Raw genomic sequence first — 20,829 nt, forward strand, 5'->3', positions numbered from 1 at the left:
ATTCTTGGTGGTGGTTAAGGAAGCTGACTGTATTCAAATTCTACCTCCTGCCACTTACCAGCCATGTGACCTTGGGGAAGGTGTGTGTGTGAGTGTGTGTGTGTGTATGTGTGTGTGTGTGTTTCCTGGTATTTACTAAGCTCTATTGATGGTGTCTTTTCAGGTAGGCTTTGTAGTTTTCTTTCTATTTTTTGCACGTTAAAAAAAAATTAATCTATGATGCTTTATGGTTTTTTCTTTTTCTTTTTTTTTTGTCATTGTAAATGACACTTTTTCCATCTCTCCACATCCTAGCTATGGTGTTCAGCCTTTTTTGAGAATTGAAGTGATTGGCTTTGTCTACATTGTTACATAATTGCAACTGATCATACATGTGGGATGTCTTGTTACTATCATATGACATGCAGACAATTTAGCAACATGACACTCACTGATGTCATAGTAAGAAATTGTAATGGGAACCCAGGTATAGACAAAAGATTAGACAAAGGATTCTAAAAAAAGGCATCTTTCATAACTACACCATTTATTCTGGGTGTGCCAGTCAGGATAGGCAAGGTTAGGCTGCAATAACGTACAGTGCCAAAACTTCAGTAGCTTAAAACAACGAAGGCTTATGAGTCACTTTCAAGTCTAAAGCAGGTTTCTGGGTTGGGGAGGGGTATTGGGGATCTGCTCCTTGTGGTTAATGGAGCCAGGCTGATGGAGCCTCCATAGCAACACTTGCTTCCTTCTAGAAGAAGGAAGAGGATGTGGGGAGTCATGCGCGAGCTTCCACCAGGAAATGATAAACATCACTTCCGCTACTGTTTCATGGTTCAAAGTAAGTCCTACCTAACTTCAAAGAGCAAGGAGGTACGGTCTTTCCACATGCCCAGAAGGAGGAGAATAGGAACTTTGGGAAGTCCTGAGGGCTTCCCCAGTCTGCCCTTCTCGTCACCAGCATTCATTTCTCTTTTCTCCACACACACGGAGCATATTCTTCCCCATGGAAGAAAACCCAAAGTCCTAGCTCAGAGTGGGGGATCAATGGCTTACTCAGTGCTCTCCTGGGGCTTCTTGAGATCTTGAGATCTGGCTCTTACCCCAGACCAGTGGAATTCTAGTGCCTCAAACCAAGCTGGCTCCTATGAGGAGTATGAGGCCAAGAAGTTGTGTTCCCTGTACCCCAACCCACTCACCCTAGGGATAGCTCCTGGTTTGCTCTGCTGAGTGTCCTTGGTAAACTGTACCTTCCATATCATGCATGTAACACAGAGCCCATTTTCTTCAAGCCTACAGCCCACTATTAAAGGAAATATGGTCGGGTGCAGTGGCTCACTCCTATAATCCCAGCACTTTGGGAGGCTGAGGTGGGCGGATTGCTTGAGCCCAGCAGTTCGAGACCAGCCTGGGCAACATGGCAAAACCGTATCTCTACAAAAAATACAAAAATTAGCCTGCTGTGGTGGTGCGTGCCTCTAGTTCCAGCTACTCGGGAGGATGAGGTGGGAGGATCGCTTGGGAAGTTGAGGCTGCAGTGAGCCTAAATTGTGTTACTGCACTCCAGCCTGGGCAGCAGAGTGAGACCCTGTCTCAAAAAATATATTAAAATAATTTTTTTTTGAGACGGAGTCTCGCACTGTCGCCCGGGCTGGAGTTCCGTGGTGCGATCTCCGCTCACTGCAAGCTCTGCCTCCTGGGTTCACGCCATTCTCCTGCCTCAGCCTCCCGAGTAGCTGAGACTACAGGCGCCTGCCACCACGCCCGGCTAATTTTTTGTATTTTTAGTAGAGATGGGGTTTCACCGTGTTAGCCAGGATGGTCTCCATCTCCTGACCTTGTGGTCCGCCCACCTCGGCCTCCCAAAGTGCTGGGATTACAAGCGTGAGCTACCATGCCTGGCCTAAAATAATATTTTTTAAAAGGAACTATAGTGTTGTCCTTACTGGGAGTTAACAGGGAGTTCAGCATCTGCTCTTCCACACCCCCAAGCCTGGTGCAGTGTCTGCCAATGATGCTGATAGCAATCTTCTTTTTTTCTTTTTGGGATACAGTCCCTCTCTGTCACCCAGGCTGGAGTGCAGTGGCAAGATTTAGTCTCACTCCATCTCAAACTCCTGAGCTCAAGTGATCCTCCCACCTCAGCTTCCGGATTGCTGGGACTTACAGGGGCCAGCCATGACACTCGGCTGATTTTTTTATTTGTTGTAGAGATATAGTCTCTCTATGTTGCTCAGGCTAGTCTTGAACTCCTGTGCTCAAGTGATCCTCCCACTTTGGCCTCCCAAAGGTCTGGGAATTACAGGCGTGAGCCACCATGCCCGGCTGACAGTGACTTTTTAATCCCTAGTGCCATAGTCTTTTTCATGCTTCCGACCAGAGGTGGCCCAGGCTGGAGTCTTCAGGCTTCTGTAATTCTGGTTGTCTTTGATCGTTTGTGGTTTATTGTCCTTGAAAAATTATTTGCGAGGGTTTCCAAAGCCTAGGTTACATGTGCCTGGCTGAGAGAGGCTTTTAAATTCTGCATATGGAGATCACAATGAAAGCACTGTATCCGTCATTGAAATCCACATAATGAGGAGTAAGACATTGCTGTTGCAGGTTTCTTTGTGACCACGCACCTATTAGTGTGGCAGGCTGAGATTCAGTCCATTATGGAGAGAGGGAAGGCTGGGGTTGTTTGTGCTTCTTCTTTTTTTTTTTGAGATGGAGTCTCACTCTGTTGCCCGGGCTGGAGTGCAGTGGTGTGATCTCGGCTTACTGCAACCTCTGCCTCCCGGGTTCAAGCAATTCTCCTGTCTCAGCCTCCTGAGTAGCTGGGATTACAGGTGCCCGCCACTATGCCCTGCTAATTTTTTGTATTTTTAGTAGAGATGGGGTTTCACCATGTTGGCCAGTCTGGTCTCGAACTCCTGACCTCGTGATTCGCCTGCCTCGGTCTCCCAAAGTGCTGGGATTACAGGCGTGAGCCACCGCGCCCGGCTGTTTGTGCTTCTAATGGACATCTTGAATGGTCCTCAAGCCTGCAGCCTCCTCCTGGCACCTGCTCTGAGCCTGGGACCTGAGAGGTTGCTCACCATGGCAACCCAAGAGGAGCTAGGGATGCACACACATCTGTCTGTGTGAAACTTTTCAACCCTGTCTGTGCATGTGTGACCAGCGCTGCAAATAAGATCGGACCTGCTTTCCTCTCACTCCCCTCCCTGCTGATCTTCATCCTGAGAGATGCTGCCAACAGATGGTAACACAGGCATGGAGAGGAGGTCACAGAGTGTGCAGAAACAGTGTTTTCTGAAAATGAGAAATGGCATGTCCTGGTTAGCTGAGTCAGCAATTATCATTATGGGGTGGGATGCAGCCATCGGAGGATTAGTCATCATGAATCTGAAGTCTCCAGGCGAGGAGAGAGTCTGACGTCATGCAGGCCAGCTTCTCTCCCAGGGCCGGCATGCCCCCCAGAGCATCCCTGGAGGATGGTCAGACAGCGATGGGGAGCTCACTACCTCTCCAGACAGTTCAATTGTTAGGTTGCACACCGAGCTGACCGCCTCCTCATACCCTGTAGCAGTTAGTGTCAACACTGTGCCCTCTGCCCCAGGCACCTCCTGCAGGTTAAAGGAGATCCTAAGCATGCTAAACTCAAGCTGTGTGTATGTGGCGTTAGTATGGGTGGCCACTCCATTTCTGGCTCCTTGAGTCTCCCTGCCATGTCCAGGAGACAGGTGTGGACAGCATAGGTAGCCCCCATGGGCTTTTGGGCTCTGGCTCAGGGCTTCTCCATGCTGACCACCTCTGTGGGCCACCCCTTGCCCAAGGGCTTCTCTGGTCTCAGCCGTCTGGGCACCTGCCAACTCCTTTGACTCAAGGACCTTATTTAGAAAACTCTCTTCATGTAGTGACAATGAGTGTAGCACCATGTAGCATTTCTCAAACTATAATGTGGCCAGGAATCGCTTGGGTTCTGGTTAAAATGCCTGACTGGGTGACGTTTGGTTGTCTTTGTCGGGTTCCATGTCACAGCTATGCTAGATTTGTAAACTGAATCAGAGCACATTCTCTTTTTTGTTTTCTGGATGGCTTAAACAGCCTACAAACATTCTTTGAAAGTCTGAGAGAACTTGTCTGCTAAACTCTCTGACCCACACCCTGTTGGGAAATAGTCCTCTGTCAGTTTTAAAGTTGATTCCCTGGTTTTTTACTTCTCTTGGCAATTCTCATTTTTCTAGAAAAGTGTGCTGTTATGGACTGAATTGCATCCCTCTCAAATTCATATGTTGAAGCCTGTGACCCCCAAATATCTGAGACAGGTCTCAGTCGATTTAGAAAGTTCCTTTTGCCAAAATTAAGGATGCCCCCGTGACACAGCCTCAGGAGGTCCTGACGACATGTGCCCAAGGTGGTCGGGGCTCAGCTTGGTTTTATACATTTTAGGGAGACATGAGACATCAATCAGTATATGTAAGATGTACATTAATTCCATCCAGAAAGGCGGGACAACTGGAAACAAAGGCAGGACAACAACAAAGGTAGGGAGGGGGCTTCCAGGTCATAGGCAGATAAAAGACAAACAGTTGCATTCTTCTGCATTTCGGATTAGTCTTTCCAAAGGAAGCAATCAGATAGGCATTTATCTCAGTGAGCAGAGGGAAGACTTTGAATAGAATGAGAGGCAGATTTGCCCTGACCAGTTCCCAGCTTGACTTTTCCCTTTAGCTTAGTGATTTTGGGGTCCCAAGATTTATTTTTCCTTTCACAAGCCTTAACCCTCAATGTGACTGATTTTGGAGATAGGGCCTTGAAGGATGCAATTAAGCTTAAATGAGGTCATAAGGATGAGGCCCTGATCTGATAGGACTGGTGTCCCTAGGAGACGAGGAGGAGACACTAGAGCTCTCTCTACTCCTGCACAGAGGAAAGGCCAGGTGTGCACAGAGCAAAAAAGGCTGATATCAGCAAGCCAAGAAGAAAGGCCTTACCTTGCCCTGCTGGCACCTTGATCTTGGACTTGCAGCCTCCAGAACTGTGAGAAAGAAATTTCTGTTGTTTAAGCCACCCAGTCTGTAGTATTTCCTTAGGGCAGCCCGAGCTGAGGAAGACACGTGTTCTCCACTGAACTCTCCCAGCTGACTAGCACACTGCATGCATTTAATACTCTTCTAATTTGAAACCTCTCCTCTGTGTCTTTGATTACATTTCCTTGACTTCTCTACTGTGTTTCTGTGTTCTCTCTCGCTCACTTGCTTCCTACTTCCTCCCCCTGCCCACCCCACAACCTTTTTTTTTGAGTCGGAGTCTTGCTCTGTCACCCAGGCTGGAGTGCAGTGGTGCGATCTCGGCTCACTGCAACCTCCACTTCCTGGATTCAAGCAATTCTCCCATCTCAGCCTCTCGAGTAGCTGGGATTACAGGCGCCTGCCACCACGCCTGGCTGACTTTTGTATTTTTAGTACACATGGGGTTTCGCCATGTTGGCCAGGCTGGTTTCAAAGTCCTGACCTCAGGTGATCCACCTGCCTCGGCCTCCCAAAGTGCTGGCATTACAAGCATGAGCCACCGCGCCTGGCCGTGTGACCCCTCCCTTTATTGGGCTTCCACAAGGCTGGGTGTCCTACAGCTGTTTACAAGAAACCAAGTCTTTGATTTATCAGTTCTATGGATTTTTATGTTTTCTATTTCATTAGTTTTTATCTGTATTTCTGCTTCTCTCCCTGGGTTTATCGTGTTGCTTATTTTCTAGCTCCTTAAGTTGGATGCTTCATTTGCCTTCAGTCTTCCTTGTTGAATAACAGAAACATTTGCAGCTATGGGGCGTACTTCGGTTTCATTCCCTAAGTATGGCTACGTGGAGTTCCAATTGTCATGACGTTCTGAATGGCCCATAACTGCAGTTTTGTTCCTTTCTTTGATTCAAGTTATTTAGGCATAAATTTCCAAGTGATTTCATTTTTTTGTTGTTGTTGTCTATCCTTTTGTTTTTAATTTCTGTTTTTATTGCACGGTGGATAGATAATGTGGCCTGAGAAAACGATGGCTTGTTAGTGCCTGTGAGGTGTTCTTGGTGGCCTAAAATGTCATCAGTTTTGGTCACTTCCTTACAGATGTTTGAATTAAATGTCTTCCCTGTTTATACCTATTTATTAAATGATGCTTGTTTTTCCACGCTGGCATTGCTTGGAATGTGAGTCCTACAAGCTGCTCTGGGGATTGTCACACTGTACCTTCTCCTGGGGAATCTCAGTGGACATCAGCACAGATCCAAGAAGGCCTAAGGAAAAGCCAACCATGAACCTTTGCTTCACTCAGTGTCTCCCAGGTGCAGCCTTTTCTCTTTAGCACCTGTTGCTACCTCTACCAGCTAGTTTCCTGTGGAACTAGTTGAGAAAACTCTGTTTTAAGGTTTTCTCGTATTTCTTGGGGAGTAACTATTTGTTAAGGGTCATCAGTACTCATTTCTCAGGTATAACCTCACTCTGCCTCACCAAGGCTAGAGTGCAGTGGTGCAATCTCGGCTCACTACAGCCTCTGCCTCCCGGGTTCAAGCGATTCTCCTTCCTCACCCTCCCGAGTAACTGGGTTTACAGGTGCCCACCACCATACCCAGCTAATTTTTGTATTTTTAGTAGAGATGGGGTTTCACCATGTTGGCCAGGCTGGTCTCGAACTCCTGACCTCAGGTGATCCACCTGCCTTGGCCTCCCAAAGTGCTGGGATTCCAAGCATGACACTGTGCCTGGCCAAACTCTTCCTTTTTTTTTGAGACAGAGTCTTGCCCTGTCGCCCGGGCTGGAGTGCAATGGCTTGATCTCAGCTCACTGCAACCTCTGCCTCCCGGGTTCAAGTGATTCACCTGCCTCAGCTTCCCGAGTACCTGAGATTACAGGCATGCACCATCATGCCCAGCTAATTTTTTGTATCATTAGTAGAGATGGGGTTTCACCATGTTAGCCAGGCTGGTCTCAAACTCCTGACCTTGTGATCTGCCCGCTTTGGCTTCCCAAAGTGCTGGGATTACAGGCATAAGCCACCGTGCCCGGCCAACTTCCTCCTTTTTTTAAAAAATTAGAGACGGGGGTCTTGCTTAGTCACCTAGGTTAGAGTGCAGTGGTGCAACCGTATCTCACTGTAGCCTGGAACTCCTGGGCTCAACCAATCCTCCTGCCACCACACCTGGCTAAGATTTTAAAATTTGTTTTAGAGACAAGGTCTCACATGTTGCCCAGGCTAGTCTTGAACTCTTGGCTTCTGCCTTAGCCTCTTGAGTAGCTGGGATTACAGGCATGAGCCACAGTGCCCAGTTGACCTCTTCCTTTTCATCTCTGGGCCTATCTGTGAGTGCTGAGCTGCTTCTCTGCTGGAGTGGAGTGTGTCCGTGTGGCTTCTGTCTGATGCTGAGGCTGTCTCAGTTCAGGCTGGATTCTCTGTCCTTTTGCTCTTGGAGACTTGGTTATCGAGGGACCCAACCAAGGAGTGAAGCTGTGTAGTGACTTTACTGATGCGCCCAAGGGTTTTTCTCTTTGTTGTAGCAGCCCAAAGTTAGCTGGACCTCAGGAACAACCCACACCTCATTCCAACATCAGCGCAGGAGGGCGTGAGATGTGGCCACAGCCTGTGGCACCATGGGATGGGCCAGCCCTCCTGCCCCTTCAGCAGGGGCAACATCAGCGCTGAGCTTTAGTCCTCAGTGATACCTGGTGGCATTTGCTTCTCTGCCACCTGCTGCTTTGAGCTTTTCAGTTTTGTGGAGTTCTACTGGTATTATGCTAGAGTTCTTCCAGAAGTAGACCCTAAGATGAGATTTCAGATATAAGTAGTTCATTCGGGAAGTGCAGGTAAGGCTGTGGAGAAAGAGTAAGGAAGATACATTTATAGATGTACTCACATACCAATATTTAAAACTAATAAGAGTCAAAAATTATAACAATTTTTTGTATTTTCTTTTCTTTTCTTTTTTTCTTTTTTTTTTTTTGAGACAGAGTTCTACTCTTGTTGCCCAGGTTGGAGTGCAATGGCGTGATCTCGGCTCACTGCAACCTCCACCTCCCAGGTTCCAGCGATTCTCCTGCCTCAGCCTCCCGAGTAGTTGGGATTACAGGCATGTGCCACCACACCTGGCTACTTTTTTGTATTTTTAGTAGAGACGGGGTTTCTCCATGTTGGTCAGGCTGGTCTCAAACTCCCAACCTCAGGTGATCCGATCCCCTCGGCCTCCCAAAGTGTTGGGATTACAGGCGTGAGCCACTGCACCCAGCCTTTTTTTGTATTTTCTAAAGTTTTAATGGGCATATTTTTCTGTAACAAGAAAAATCAAGCAAAAATTATATTTAGAAAAGCATGGAAACTAGTAAAGACTTTCAAAGGTCAAAGTGTGAAAAATCCCCCACGTGATTCAGCTGTCTACTTCAGTGGGCATCTGAGGCCTTTAGGGGAAACTGTGGGAAGTGATACAAAACACTCAACTCAGAACTACCCCACCCAAGGGGTGGGGGAGCTGGGGCATTTACACCCCAACCCTCAAGAGAGTCATTTGTTAAAAGCTATTTCTGGGGTTGTGAGATAGGAGGTGAGACTTGACTCCAGAGGTGGGGCTCAAACACTGGTCTAGATTGAGGACTAGCTAAAACAGGGCTGGGGTGAAGGCAGCTTTCAATCTGACACAGCCACCAGTGTGTTAAGTCAGTTTACTGTTGCCATGGCAACACCCAGGGTTACCACCCCTTTTCAAAGCAATGACCTCAAAGTTACCACCCTTTCCTTAGAAATTTCTGCATAAACTGCCCCTTTATCTGCATGCAATTAAAACTATGTGTAAATACGATTGCAAAAGTGCCCTGAGCAGCTACTCTCTGCCAATGGGGTAGCCCTGCTGTGCAGGAACAGTCACAGAGCTATAACACCGTCTTTTCAATAAAGCTGTTTTCTTTTACCTCTGGCCCTTGAATTCTTTCCTGGGCAAAGCCAAGAACCCTTGTGGACTGAGCTCCACTTTGGGGCTTGCCTGCCCTGCATCATAAGGTCTTTGGCAGTTCCATCCTGTCAGGCATGGGCAGTTCTGGGAGCAAGAGCCTCATTTCTAGTTGCAGAGGCTGGAAGTGGAAGCTGGCCAGAGCACACTGAAAAGTCACAGGGATACAGGTGGGGTGCAGGCCACTTGTGCCATGGGTCCCTCCAACTTAGAGATTCATGTCTTCTTACTTGGTGACTTACGGGGTAGTCAGTCCCACAAATGCTTAAACAGCCAGCATTTTAAAAAAAGCATCCATTTGTAGCATCTGCCAATTTCCATGTTGTCAATATTCCCACCATGGCCAATTTCAAGCTACCAGTGGTTTAACAGCAGTCAACAGGCGAGGAAAACAGGTAAAGTAACACTCCTCGAGATAGACCTGTAGCAAGTGACAGAGTTGGGGGTGCAGCCCAAGCCTGCCAAACTAAAATACTCTTGCGCCCTTTTTTTTTTTTTTTTTTTTTGAGATGGAGTCTTGCTCTGTCACCTAGGCTGGAGTGCAGTGGCAAGATCTCAGCTCACTGCAACCTCTGCCTCCCGGGTTCAAGTGATTCAGCAGCATGAAAACAGACTAATACAGCCATGTTGGTCTGGCTGGTCTCCAACTGCCAACCTCAGGTGATCTCCCCATCTCAGCCTCCCAAAGTGCTGGGATTATAGGCATGAACCATCGCACCCGGCTTACTCTTGCACTTTTCGTGACATCAGGTTCAGGTGAGCTCAGGCGTTTACGGTGTTGACCTTGTGGGTCAAAGATCTCTGGTGGGAAGACAGACAGACATCCTTCTGATCAGGATACAGTGAGTGCAAGGATGAGGGGACAGCTGGCTGCTGTCTTTCAGATAAAGACTGAGCTGGCCTGGAGGATAAGCAGGAACCAACAGGCTGTAGGAAGGGTGTTCCTGGCAGGTGGACCAGCATGAGCAAAGCACCGAGGCAGTAAGAGCGGCTGGGCTGGGGACTATATATGAGATGTCCCCTACAAAGTGGGCTGGCAGGGGAGGGGTGGAAATGCACATGGAGTTCAGACCTGAGGGCATCCTTGCTGGGTGCTGAAGTGACGGGTTGCTGAGGAAGGCTTCAAGTAAGGAAGTGATGTGGACAGGTTTCCATCTTATTTTCTGTCTCTGGGGCCTGTGGTTTTAAGAGCAGCAAGAAAGGCAGGGGGCCTGGTTAGGGGGCTAAGGAGGCAGAGATTAGCCTGGAGTGGTGGCTCATGCCTATAATCCCAGCACTTTGGAAGGGTAAGGTGGGTGGATCACTTGAGCCCAGGAGTTTGAGACTAGCCTGGGCAACATAGTAAGCCTCCGTCTCTACAAAAAATGAAAAAATTAGCCAGGTGTGGTGGTACACGCCTGTGGTCCCACCTACTATGGAGGCCGAGGTGGGAGAATTGCTTGAGCCCAGGAGGTTGAGGCTGCAGTGAGCTGTGATTGTGCTACTACACTGCAGCCTGGGCAATAGAACTAGAACTTGTCTCAAAAAATAAAAATAAATAAAAATAAAAAAGCAGAGATTAGAGAAATCTGCCCAGAGAGGTGGTTTATAGAAGCCCACCCACACAAAGCCATGGTCTAAGCACAGCTGGACTGTACAGGAACCCAAGCACACAGCAACCACCATTCTCAAGCACAACAGGAGGATCCCCTCTGAAAGACCAGGGCAGGAGAACACATCCCAGACAGAGGACAGGACCCCCTGCCAGCCCTTGCCAGCCCCTCCCGGCCCCTCTCCCCTGGTGAGGGCCACACTGCTGCAGAGGGTAAGGAGAATTGGATTCAAAACCTAATAGACTGGTGGCTTTGAACAAACCAGTGCCCCTCCAGTGCAGGCTTCTCATCTGTAAACTGAAGACTGACTAGAAGATCGTATTAAACACTGCCGTGCTCAGGGCAATCTTTTCCTAGACTACGCATTTAGCAAAAGTGAAGCTGATTGAATTGAGAAGTAAATTCTAGCCCTATTGTTTCAGCTATCCTGGTCTTTCAGCCTTGTGGAAATGTGAGTGAGTCGGTGTGGGCCAATTCCACCAGACACAGCACTGGGCCGGTTCCTCACTCTGCGGGGTCCGCCTTATGTTCCAGTTCACCTCAAGGGCTTCTAGCATGTGTCTGGCCTCCTCGCTGGTTTACATGTGAATATAGATTTTCCTGTGTTTTTCCTTTGACCATTTTAGCAAGCATTTGGCAGGGAGCAGTTAAATGGATCCCAGAGTCAGTCATCTGGAAATCCCTTTGCTTTTAACCTTTATGTAGCATTTCATTGGCCCTGGGCTTTTTGTAAACAAGCTATTTGTGTATGGGGAGGGAAAGCTCTGCCCTTTGCTCTCACTCTGTCTTCTCTCCAGGAGGAGCTGCTGACCTGGTATTCCAGATTGAGGAACCCACTTTTCCTGGTGGGAGGGTCGCTCCCTCTTTTACTTTGCTCCTCCTGGGTCTGGGAGGGGGCCATCTGCCCCTTTCTTGGCTCTTATTTTCTAACACACCTGTTATGGTGTGCTGGGTTGCTACATGCGATCCAGGAGGCCAAGTTAAATTTCAGATAAACAATGAATAGTTTTCTTTAGCACAATGTCCCAAATATTGCTTGGGACATATTTATATTTAAAAAAAGTTTAGGCTGGATGTGGTGGCTCACGCCTGTAATCCCAGCACTTTGGGAGGCCGAGATGGGTGGATCACCTGAGGTCAGGAATTCAAGACTAGCCTGACTAACATGTTGACACCCCGTCTCTCCTAAAAATACAAAAATTAGCTGGGCGTGTTTTCCATTTTCTTTTGTTTCTTTTGAGAATCTGTTCCTTGGAACTTCATGAGGAAGGTTAATGGGTGCCTGCAATCCCAACTACTCTGGAGGCTGAGGCAGGAGAATCGCTTGAACCCAGGAGGCAGAGGTTGCAGTGAGCTGAGACCACGTCATTGCACTCCAGCCTGGACAACAAGAGCGAAACTACGTCTCAAAAAAAAAAAAAAAAGAAAAGAAAAAGAAAAAGTTTAGTGTTTGTGTGAAATTCAAATTTAACTAGGCGTCTTCTATTTTTATTTGCTGAATCTGGCAACCCATGTACTCTAAGAACTATTCTAAGGGGTTCTCTGGAACAGCTGGCCGTCAGATCCAGATTTGGGTTTCCATGGAGCCTCTGGTTAGGTCTGCAACGTCATTATAATAATGTGGAAACACGTTTTCCGTTTTCTTTTGTTTCTTTTGAGAATCTGTTCCTTGGAACTTCATGAGGAAGGTTAATGGGCAGGGTAGGACTTGGGTATTCCCTCCAGCGAGCTGCCATCATATATCATTAAAACCTCACTTTGGCTAGGCGTGGTGTCATGTGCCTGTAGTTGAAGCCACTCAGGAGGCTGAGGCGGGAGGATTGCTTGAAACCAAGAGTTCAAGTCCAGCCTGGGCAGCCTAGCAAGGCCCTGTCACTGAAAAAAAACAAACATAACCACCAAGCCAAAAACAAAACACTAAACATCTCACTTCTTTGAGGTCTAACAATCTGTAGTTTAGATTTTGCTTTTTGATTCAACCTAAGCATTTTAGATGAATTTAACTCATGCACATTTATTATGACGGCTGTTACCCGTGGTCTTAATTCTGTTATCTTGTTATGCTTTTTGTTTTTAGTGAGCCATGTTTTCTTGAATTAGTTTTCTTTGGTGTCTTAGAAGTTACACATCCTTTATTATATCAGAAGTTATTTTAAATAGAAAAATATTGAGACCATTTTGTTTACATATCAAATGGCAAGAATAAAAATAACCAGAATACCATCTCATTGGTTGACGACATCACTCATCTACTTCCATTCACTCCTGCAAACCAGGAGTTTTGATTCCTTTCTTTTCCTCCTTCCCCATGTCAAATCCATTATCAAGTCCTGCAACTCTTAACTTCTGAACAGTTTTTGGATCTATCCAATTTATCCTCATCACTACTACTCCAGTACTATTGACCATTATCTCATGTCCAGTCTAAGATATGATTCCCCATGCCATTCTTCTTTTACTTCCTTTCATGTATTTCTTTCTTTTTCTTTTTTGTTTTTTTTGAGACGGAGTCTCCCTTCGTTGCCCAGGCTGGAGTGCAGTGGCATGATCTTGGCTCACTGCAACCTCCGCCTCCTGGGTTCAAGCGATTTTCCTGCCTCAGCCACCTGAGTAGCTGGGATTACAGGTGTGCACCACCATGCCTGGCTAATTTTTTTGGTATTTTTAGTAGAGACGGGATTTCACCATGTTGGCCAGGCTGGTCTTGAACTCCTAACCTCAAGTGATACACCTGCCTCGGCCTCCCAAAGTGCTGGGATTATAGGCGTGAGCCACCATAGCTGGCCCTTTTCATATACTTCACACTTGGGGAAATTATTTGGGATTTTCAGAACCAGATGGTTATGACCTTCCTACCCTAACCTGGTCATTAATAAACAATTATTTTAACATATTGTGTATCTTCAGCTTTAATATTTATTTTGGACATATGCAATAGGTTGCATGCCTCATTATTTGTGGTCAGCCCTGTATTTTTGCATTTTCATTGTTGGCTTTTATTTTCTCTGTACTGTTTCTTCCCTATTTCTGAATTTGCTGTTTGGATTCCTCAATCTTATTCTCTGCTGCTAGGCCATCAAATGCTGGAGTCCTGTGAGCTTAGTTTTCTCTTCTCTCTTATTGTCTAGATGTAGATAACTCACCAGTATGCATCTGGAGGTCTAAACCATCTGCATAGTGCAAGCCTGTGAATCCACATTGGACATCTCATGGATACCTCATACTTAACCTTCTCCAAACCAATCTAAAACTGACCTTCCTGCCCTAACCTGGTCCTGTTTTAGAGTCTCCATCTGTACTAGTCAGGGTTCTCCAGAGAAACAGAATGAACAGGATAGGAAAAATGAGGAATTGGCTCATGTGATTATGGAGGCTGAGAAGTCCCATGATTTGCCATCTGTAAACTGGAGACCTAGGAAAGCTGATGGTAGAATTCAGTTCAAGTCCAAAGGCCTGAGAAGCAGGGGAGATGATGATATAAATCCTGGTTGGAGGACAGGAGAAGATGAGAAATGTCTCAGCTCAAGCGGTGAGTTAGGAAAAAAGGGACAAATTCCTCCTTCCTCTGCCTTTTGTTCTGTTCAGGCCCTCAGTGGATTGGATGGTGCCCATCCGCATTAGGGAGGGCCACCTCCTTTACCAAGTTCACTGATTCAAATGCTCATCTCAGCCAGAAACACTCTCACAGGCATACCCAGGAACAGTGTTTAATCTGGGTACCCTGTGGCCCAGTCAAGTTGATGAATAAAATTAACCATCACCCATTTCCTCTGCTGACATCACCCATCCACTTCCATTCAGTCCTGCAAACCAGAAGTTGTGATTCCTTTCTTTTCCACCTCCCCCATGTCTAATCAATCACCAAGTCCTGTTACTCTTAACTTCTGAACAGCTTTTGAATCAATCCAGTTCTCTTCATCCTCATCACAACTGTTCTAGTCCTATTGGCTATTATGTCTCGCCTAGTCTAAGGCAGTAGTCTACTAACTAGTCTCCCAACTCCCTTCTGGTCTCTGTCTTCTAGACCTGACCCTGAGGGAAGGTCTAGAAATGCAGGCAGGCTGTCCCCATTCTGCTTCCTCTACACTAAGATCTAGTCAGGATCCTTCAGGTGCCCACAAGGCTCTGCACCCTCCGAGGGCTGCCATACCTGGCCATACCTGGCATGCGCTTCCTTCCTATCCTCTCTGCACACCAGCCACACTGGCCCATCCTGGCCACTCCTGGGCTCCGTGCTCTCTGCCACCACATGGCCTTGGCATCTCCTGCTTTCTGTTGTCTTCTTTCTTTACGTGCAGAAGCTCCTGCCTGGCCTTTGGAGCTCAGCCTCCCCTGAACTCTCTGACTCAATTAAATTCCTCTATTCTTTACCCTCGTAGCCTCACATGCCTTTCCTTCATAGCATTATATGACAACTGTCATTTTACATTTATTTCTTTCTATTTTCTGATGAATGCCTGCCTCCCCCAGTAGACTATCAGTCCCCAGAAGCATGCACCTTGTCTTTTTCAATTCATTGCTGTATCTCCAGTGCCCAGCACAGCACCTGGTGCATAGCAGGTGCTCAAGAAGTATTTGTTTTGAATAAATGAATGATTTAGAGCTGATCACAGCTGGAAGAGCCACTGAAGGTCATCACTATTATTAAAAGTAGATCTCAAGGCTTAGATCCCAGGGAAGGGAGGACCCCAGAGAAGCCTGTGAAATGAGAGTCAAATTTTAGAGTGTTGCCGGGCATGGTGGCTCACCACGGCCATTTGGGAGGCCGAGATGGGTGGATCACCTGAGGTCAGGAGTTCGAGAGCAGCCTGGCCAACATGGCAAAACCCCATCTCTTACTAAAAATACAAAAACTAGCCTGGAATGGTGGCGTGCGCCTATAGTCACAGCTACTCAGGAGGCTGAGGCAGGAGAATGGCTTGTACGCGGAAGGCGGAGGCTGCAGCAGGTTTTCTGTGTTTTTAGTTTCCTAAGCTTGGCTTGGCACAGCACACACAAAGCCATGGGGACCCAGAGCTTGTGACTTACACCGTGAAGCACAGGGTGGGGAAGAATGAGTGACAGTGAAGAATGTTCCCTTGCCCAAAAGGAGATGATTCGGAAAAGAGCAGATGGAGGAGGTGTGGTTAGGGATAGGAGTTACTGGGTCCCCAAGAATGAGTCCAGCACCCCATCCCTCAGAGGATAGAAACCCATGTTAAGGTTGTAGGGATCCCGGAAGACTCACAGAGAAGCCCACTTTGGTGGAGCAGCAGTGGCAAAGGGAGGTGTTGGAATGCAGTGGCCTCAGGACAGCCTCCTGGGGATCTGGGATCCTGCACAGTGTGAGGGAGCAGATTAGAGTTCTCACACCCCTGGAGAGAGCGTGCACGTAGCTGGGGTGGATGACTGTCCTGGGGGGGCTCAGGCTCCCAGGAATGGGTGATCAGGGACCATGGCAGACCTATAGTCACCTCTGCAGAGGCAGTGGGGACTGGGGTGACTCAGACTCCAGCGAGGTCAGCGAGGAACCCTCCCAGCCAGGCGACTCACCCCAGATGCTGGAGTGGTAGGTAAGCCCCTCCCCACACCAGCTGCACCACCTCTGGGTGGAGTGTGTGTGTGTGTGTGTGTGTGTGTGTATGCATGCCGGATGCGTGTCTGAAATCTGAATTCAGTGAGTGTTTACCTAAAGAACAGTGGAGTGAAGTGGCTGCTGTACTTCATGTTTGCAACTGTTTCCCACCTTCAGTGGAAATGGGAGCTTAAAAGCTCAGATAAGCCGGGGCGATGGCTCATGCCTGTAATTCCAGCACTTTGGGAGGCCAAGGTGGGTGGGTCACTTGAGGTCAGGAGTTTGAGACCAGCCTGGCCAACATGGTGAAACCCTGTCTCTACTAAAAATACAAAAATTAGCTGGGAGCGGTGGCTCGTGCCTGTAGTCCCAGCTACTCGGGAGGCTGAGACAGGAGAATCACTTGAACCTGGGAGGCAGAGGTTGCAGTTAGCTGAGATCACACCACTGCGCTTCAGCCTGGGCAACAGAGTGACCAAAAAAAAAAAAAAAATCAAAAACTCAGATAAATTAAATATGCAGAAATAGAGAAAGTAATAGGTTTTTATCCCTGAAGATATAGTCTGGGAAATTTATACTCATTCCATAGTATTTATACGAGTATTTTTACTCATTCCTTGTATTGCTTGAAGTTCCAGCGAAGAACAGAATCCTACTCAGATGGATTTCATGGACTATTATGGAGAGGTGGGCGGGGCAAAGAGCCCCAACCAAGGCTGCAGAGGCTCCCAGGCACCAGCAGCAAGGGGAAGCCTGCCGGGGTGGGGTAGGGGATTATGCTGTTGAAGTCCATTGACAGCTGGAGACAGAAAGTAGAACCACCCAGCAAGAGCTGGGGTTGAGGGACTAAGCCACTGCCCAGAATGAGACCTGAAGAAGGAAGGAAGCAGGAAGAAATATCCCTACTTCTCTCTCTCCTCCCAGCATCCGAAACCTGGAAGCCAGCCAGCAACGATGTGTGGGTGATGCAGTCCACAGGGGCCAACCTTCCAGGGCCCACGGCAGGGTGGAAAGATGGGTGGAGGGGGGCTTGAGTTAAAGAACAGATGGGGAAACTGAAGCCCAGACAGGGTAAGGACTTGCCTAAGGTCATTTAGCAATTGAAGGGCACCATGAGGACTCAGCCCCTGACTTCCTTCTTCTCATAGGAGGGCTTCCTGCTCAACACCGTGCTTTATTGCCTGCACACACAGCTGCGTGGTCGCTTCTCATTTTCAGACTTTGTTGTAAAAAGAAGTCGGAAAATGCAAACATTGTATGAAGAAGAAAAGAATGTGTTGGCGTCTAGTCTTCCAGGCTGCCTCTCTGTGTGTGGACACATATTGATTTATTTTAATGTTCTTAATTTTAGATTCGGGGGGGGTGTGTGGGCAGGTTTGTTCCGTGGGTATATATTGTGTGATATGGGTTTGGGCTTCTGTTAATACCCAAACAGCGAACATAGGACCCGATAGGTAATTTTTCAACCCCTGCCCCTCTCCTTCCCTCCTTGCTTTTTATTTATTTTGGAGACAGGGTCTTGCTCTGTCTCCCAGGCTGGAGTGCAGTGGCACGGTCTCAGCCCACTGCAACCTCCGCCTCCTGGGTTCAAGCGATTCTTGTGCTTCAGCCTCCGGAGTAGCTGGGACTACAGGCGTGACCACCACTCCCGGCTAAGTTTTGTATTTTTAGTAGAGATGAGGTTTCATCACGCTGGCCAGGCTGGTCTTGAAGTGACCTCAGGTGATCCACCTGCCTTGGCCTCCCAAAGTGCTGGGATTACAGTCGAGAGTCACCACCGTGCCCGACTCCTCCTTGCTTTTAGAGTCCCCAGTGTCTTTTGTTCCCAAATGTGTGGACACACATTTAGTAAAAATGGGAGTGGGCTTTGTAAACCTAAAAGTATTTGAGACAGGCCTCAATCAATTGAGAAGTTTATTTTGCCGAAGTTAAGGACATGCCCAGAAGAACAGAACACAGAATCACAGAAACAGTCTGTGCCTTTCTACAAAGATGATTTTGAGGGTGTCAGTACTTAAAGGGGAAAAGCAGGCTGGAGGGAAACGAGGGAGGGTGTGGTCATATTACTGAATTCACATGTTGCAAGAGAAAAGGAGTAGATGGGGGACTCGTCAATTATGTATTCATCTAGCACTCAGTAAATTGGCACTTTAAGTAAGATAAGGTGAACCAGAGTAATTGGAGATATCTGGCCTTTTATCTCTACCTATCTGCTTAGGCACAAAAGGGAAGGCGTTTTCTTGCATGACTCAGCTTTCAGCTTAATTTTTTTCCTTTGGGTAGAGTGAATTGGAGTCCCAAGTTTTATTTTCCTTTCACAGTTTAGGAAGTCGGGAGAGGTGGGTTCGCCTGGGAACTCATAGTGAGACCTGCACTCTGAATTCCTTGGAAGACAGAGGAGAAAAATGAAGGGAAAAAAAAAAGGTGGGGAGGTGGTGGAGGGAGAGAGGGAATGGTTGGTGCTTTGGCCAAGCCTGAGTTTCCCCAGCTGCTCCTTGTTTAGGCAGGAGAGACAGGCAAACTGCAGAGCACTTGTGAGTTCCCATGGGAGCCCCTGCGCCCTGTGGGTCTGTTTCAGCATTGTCCTCCGTGCTGGGGATATCCCAGCTCCCAGCTTCCTGGAAGGCTGTCGTGTTAACCACGTTAACACTTTGTGTGGGGCTCAGCACTTGTGGAGTGCCCGTTTAGTTCTTAGAGTCGCCCTGTGCAGGGCCAGGTAATGCCTACCACGTCCTAAAATGCACTGCGTGCCCCACTGTGCCCCACTGGAGGTATGTGAGTGACATTTCATGGTGTTTTGGTGGACAGTTTTAATTTCAGTAATTACATATTGATATGGTTTGGGTTTGTGTCCCTGCCCAAATCTCATGTCAAATTGGAGGAGGGCTCTAGTGGGAGGTGGTTGGATCGTGGACGTGGATTTCCCCCTTGCGTTCTCGTGGTAGGGAGTGAGTGCTCATGCGATCTGATGGTTTAAAAGTGTGCGGCACTTCCCCCTTCATGCGCTCTCTCTCCGGCTCTGCCATTGTGAAGATGTGCCTGCTTCCCCTCTGCCTTCTGCCATGATTGTAAGTTTCCTGAGGCCTTTCAGCCATGCTTCCTGTACAGTCTGGGCAACTGTGAGTCAATTAAACCTCTTTTCTGTCTTTCTTTCTTTCTTTTTTTTTTTTTTTTAGACAGAGTTTCGCTCTTGTTGCCCAGGCTGGAGTGCAATGGCACAATCTGGGGTCACTGCAACCTCCGCCTCTCGGGTTCAAGTGATTCTCCTGCGTCAGCCTCCCGAGTAGCTGGGATTACAGGCATGCGCCACCACGCCTGGCTAATTTATTTTTATTTTTTTTTATTTTTAGTAGAGACAGGGTTTCTCCATGTTGGTCAGGCTGGTCTGGAACTCCCGAGCTCAGGTGATCCGCCCACGTCGGCCCCCTAAAGTGCTGAGATTACAGGCGTGAGCCACTACGCCTGGCCTAAACCTCTTTTCTTTATAAATTACCCAGTCTCAGGTAGTTCTTTATAGCAGTGTGAGAATGGACTAATACACATGTGTTTTAATGCATCTTAGCGGGGCTGATCATAAACATATTTGACAACTGAATGGCACAGGCATCAACGAATCAGAACGGATGCTAGCAGTAAATAGCCATGAATGTCTCTGGGACTCATAACTGAACTGAAAGGGGCTCAATTTTCCCCACCCGCCTGGTGATTGGGGTGCTCATAGTCCCCCAAGAGTGGGTTCCTGCTGTTTTCACCCCACCATCCTGGCCTCCAGAAATCCACTCTGAGCTTTGAGCTTCCATACAGGGAGCTCAGGGGAGGGTAGGGAAGAAGAAAGGAGCGTGGGGGTGGGGGGAGGGCTGCTGCCTGGAGCTGCCTCTCACACAGGACCCCCTGGATGGTCACTCTGTTTCTGGGATATTTAACCCCTGAAACTGTCCCCTGAGCAGCTGTGTCACCCCTGACCTGCTGCTCAGTGTCACCCCCTCTTTTATTTTAAGAAACAGAGTCTTACTCTGTTGCCCAGGCAGGAGTGCAGTGGTGCAATCATAGCTAACTACAGCCTCAAACTCCTGAGCTTAAGCAATCCTCCTGCCTTAAGCAACCCTCCTGAGTAGCTGGGACTACAGATGCATGCCACCATGCCTGGCTAATTTTTAAATGATATTTTGTAGAGACAAGATGTTGCTATGTTGCTCAGGCTGGTCTCAGATTTCTGGGCTCAACCAATCCTCTTGCCTTGACCTCCCAAAGTGTTGGGATTATAGGCGTGAGCCACTGCGCCTAGCCTCATCTCTCCTGTTTTCATGTGTGCCTTTGTAAATTACTTGTATTTCACTGGTTACTTTTTGTTTCTATAACATGTTTTATTGTGACACATAAAATGCAGGAAAAAATGCATAAAGCTCATATGTGCAGGTTAACACAGGACTGTAAAAATATCCTACACAAAGAAGGAGAACTGGGTTCCCTGGGGCCCCCACCATCTCTTCCCATGACAGCCTCCTGATCCCCAGAGAAAAGCACTATCTTTTTTTTTTTTTTTTTTGAGATGGAGTCTCTCTCTGCCGCCCAGGCTGGAGTGCAGTGGCACAGTCTCAGCTCACTGTAACCTCTGCCTCCCGGGTTCAAGCGATTCTTCTGCCTCAGCCTCCCGAGTAGCTGGGACTACAGGCGTGCACCACTACACTGGGCTAATTTTTGTATTTTTAGTAGAGACAGGGTTTCACCATGTTGGTCAG

The 20,829-nt window shown here is 47.7% G+C and overlaps 1 long non-coding RNA gene across 1 annotated transcript in view, besides 1 other annotated feature; it reads left to right on the forward strand.

Moving 5' to 3' along the window:
* Window positions 1-614: 614 nt before the first annotated feature.
* The window catches only part of LOC101927200 (uncharacterized), a 91,977-nt gene continuing 71,762 nt past the window's right edge, over window positions 615-20,829 (forward strand). The window contains exon 1 of the long non-coding RNA XR_936741.3: window positions 615-823. This is a non-coding gene — a long non-coding RNA (uncharacterized LOC101927200). The remainder of the gene's footprint in view (window positions 824-20,829) is intronic.
* Window positions 17,365-18,184: an enhancer, noted in NCBI's record as "H3K4me1 hESC enhancer chr20:42374309-42375128 (GRCh37/hg19 assembly coordinates)". NCBI's record gives its function as "activates a minimal SCP1, AML or CMV promoter by ChIP-STARR-seq in primed H9 embryonic stem cells {active_cell/tissue: H9 hESC(primed)}" and the evidence as "EXISTENCE:reporter gene assay evidence [ECO:0000049][PMID:30033119]".

The sequence above is a fragment of the Homo sapiens genome, chromosome 20, assembly GCF_000001405.40.
Source record: "Homo sapiens chromosome 20, GRCh38.p14 Primary Assembly".
NCBI classification, from domain to species: Eukaryota; Metazoa; Chordata; class Mammalia; order Primates; family Hominidae; genus Homo; species Homo sapiens.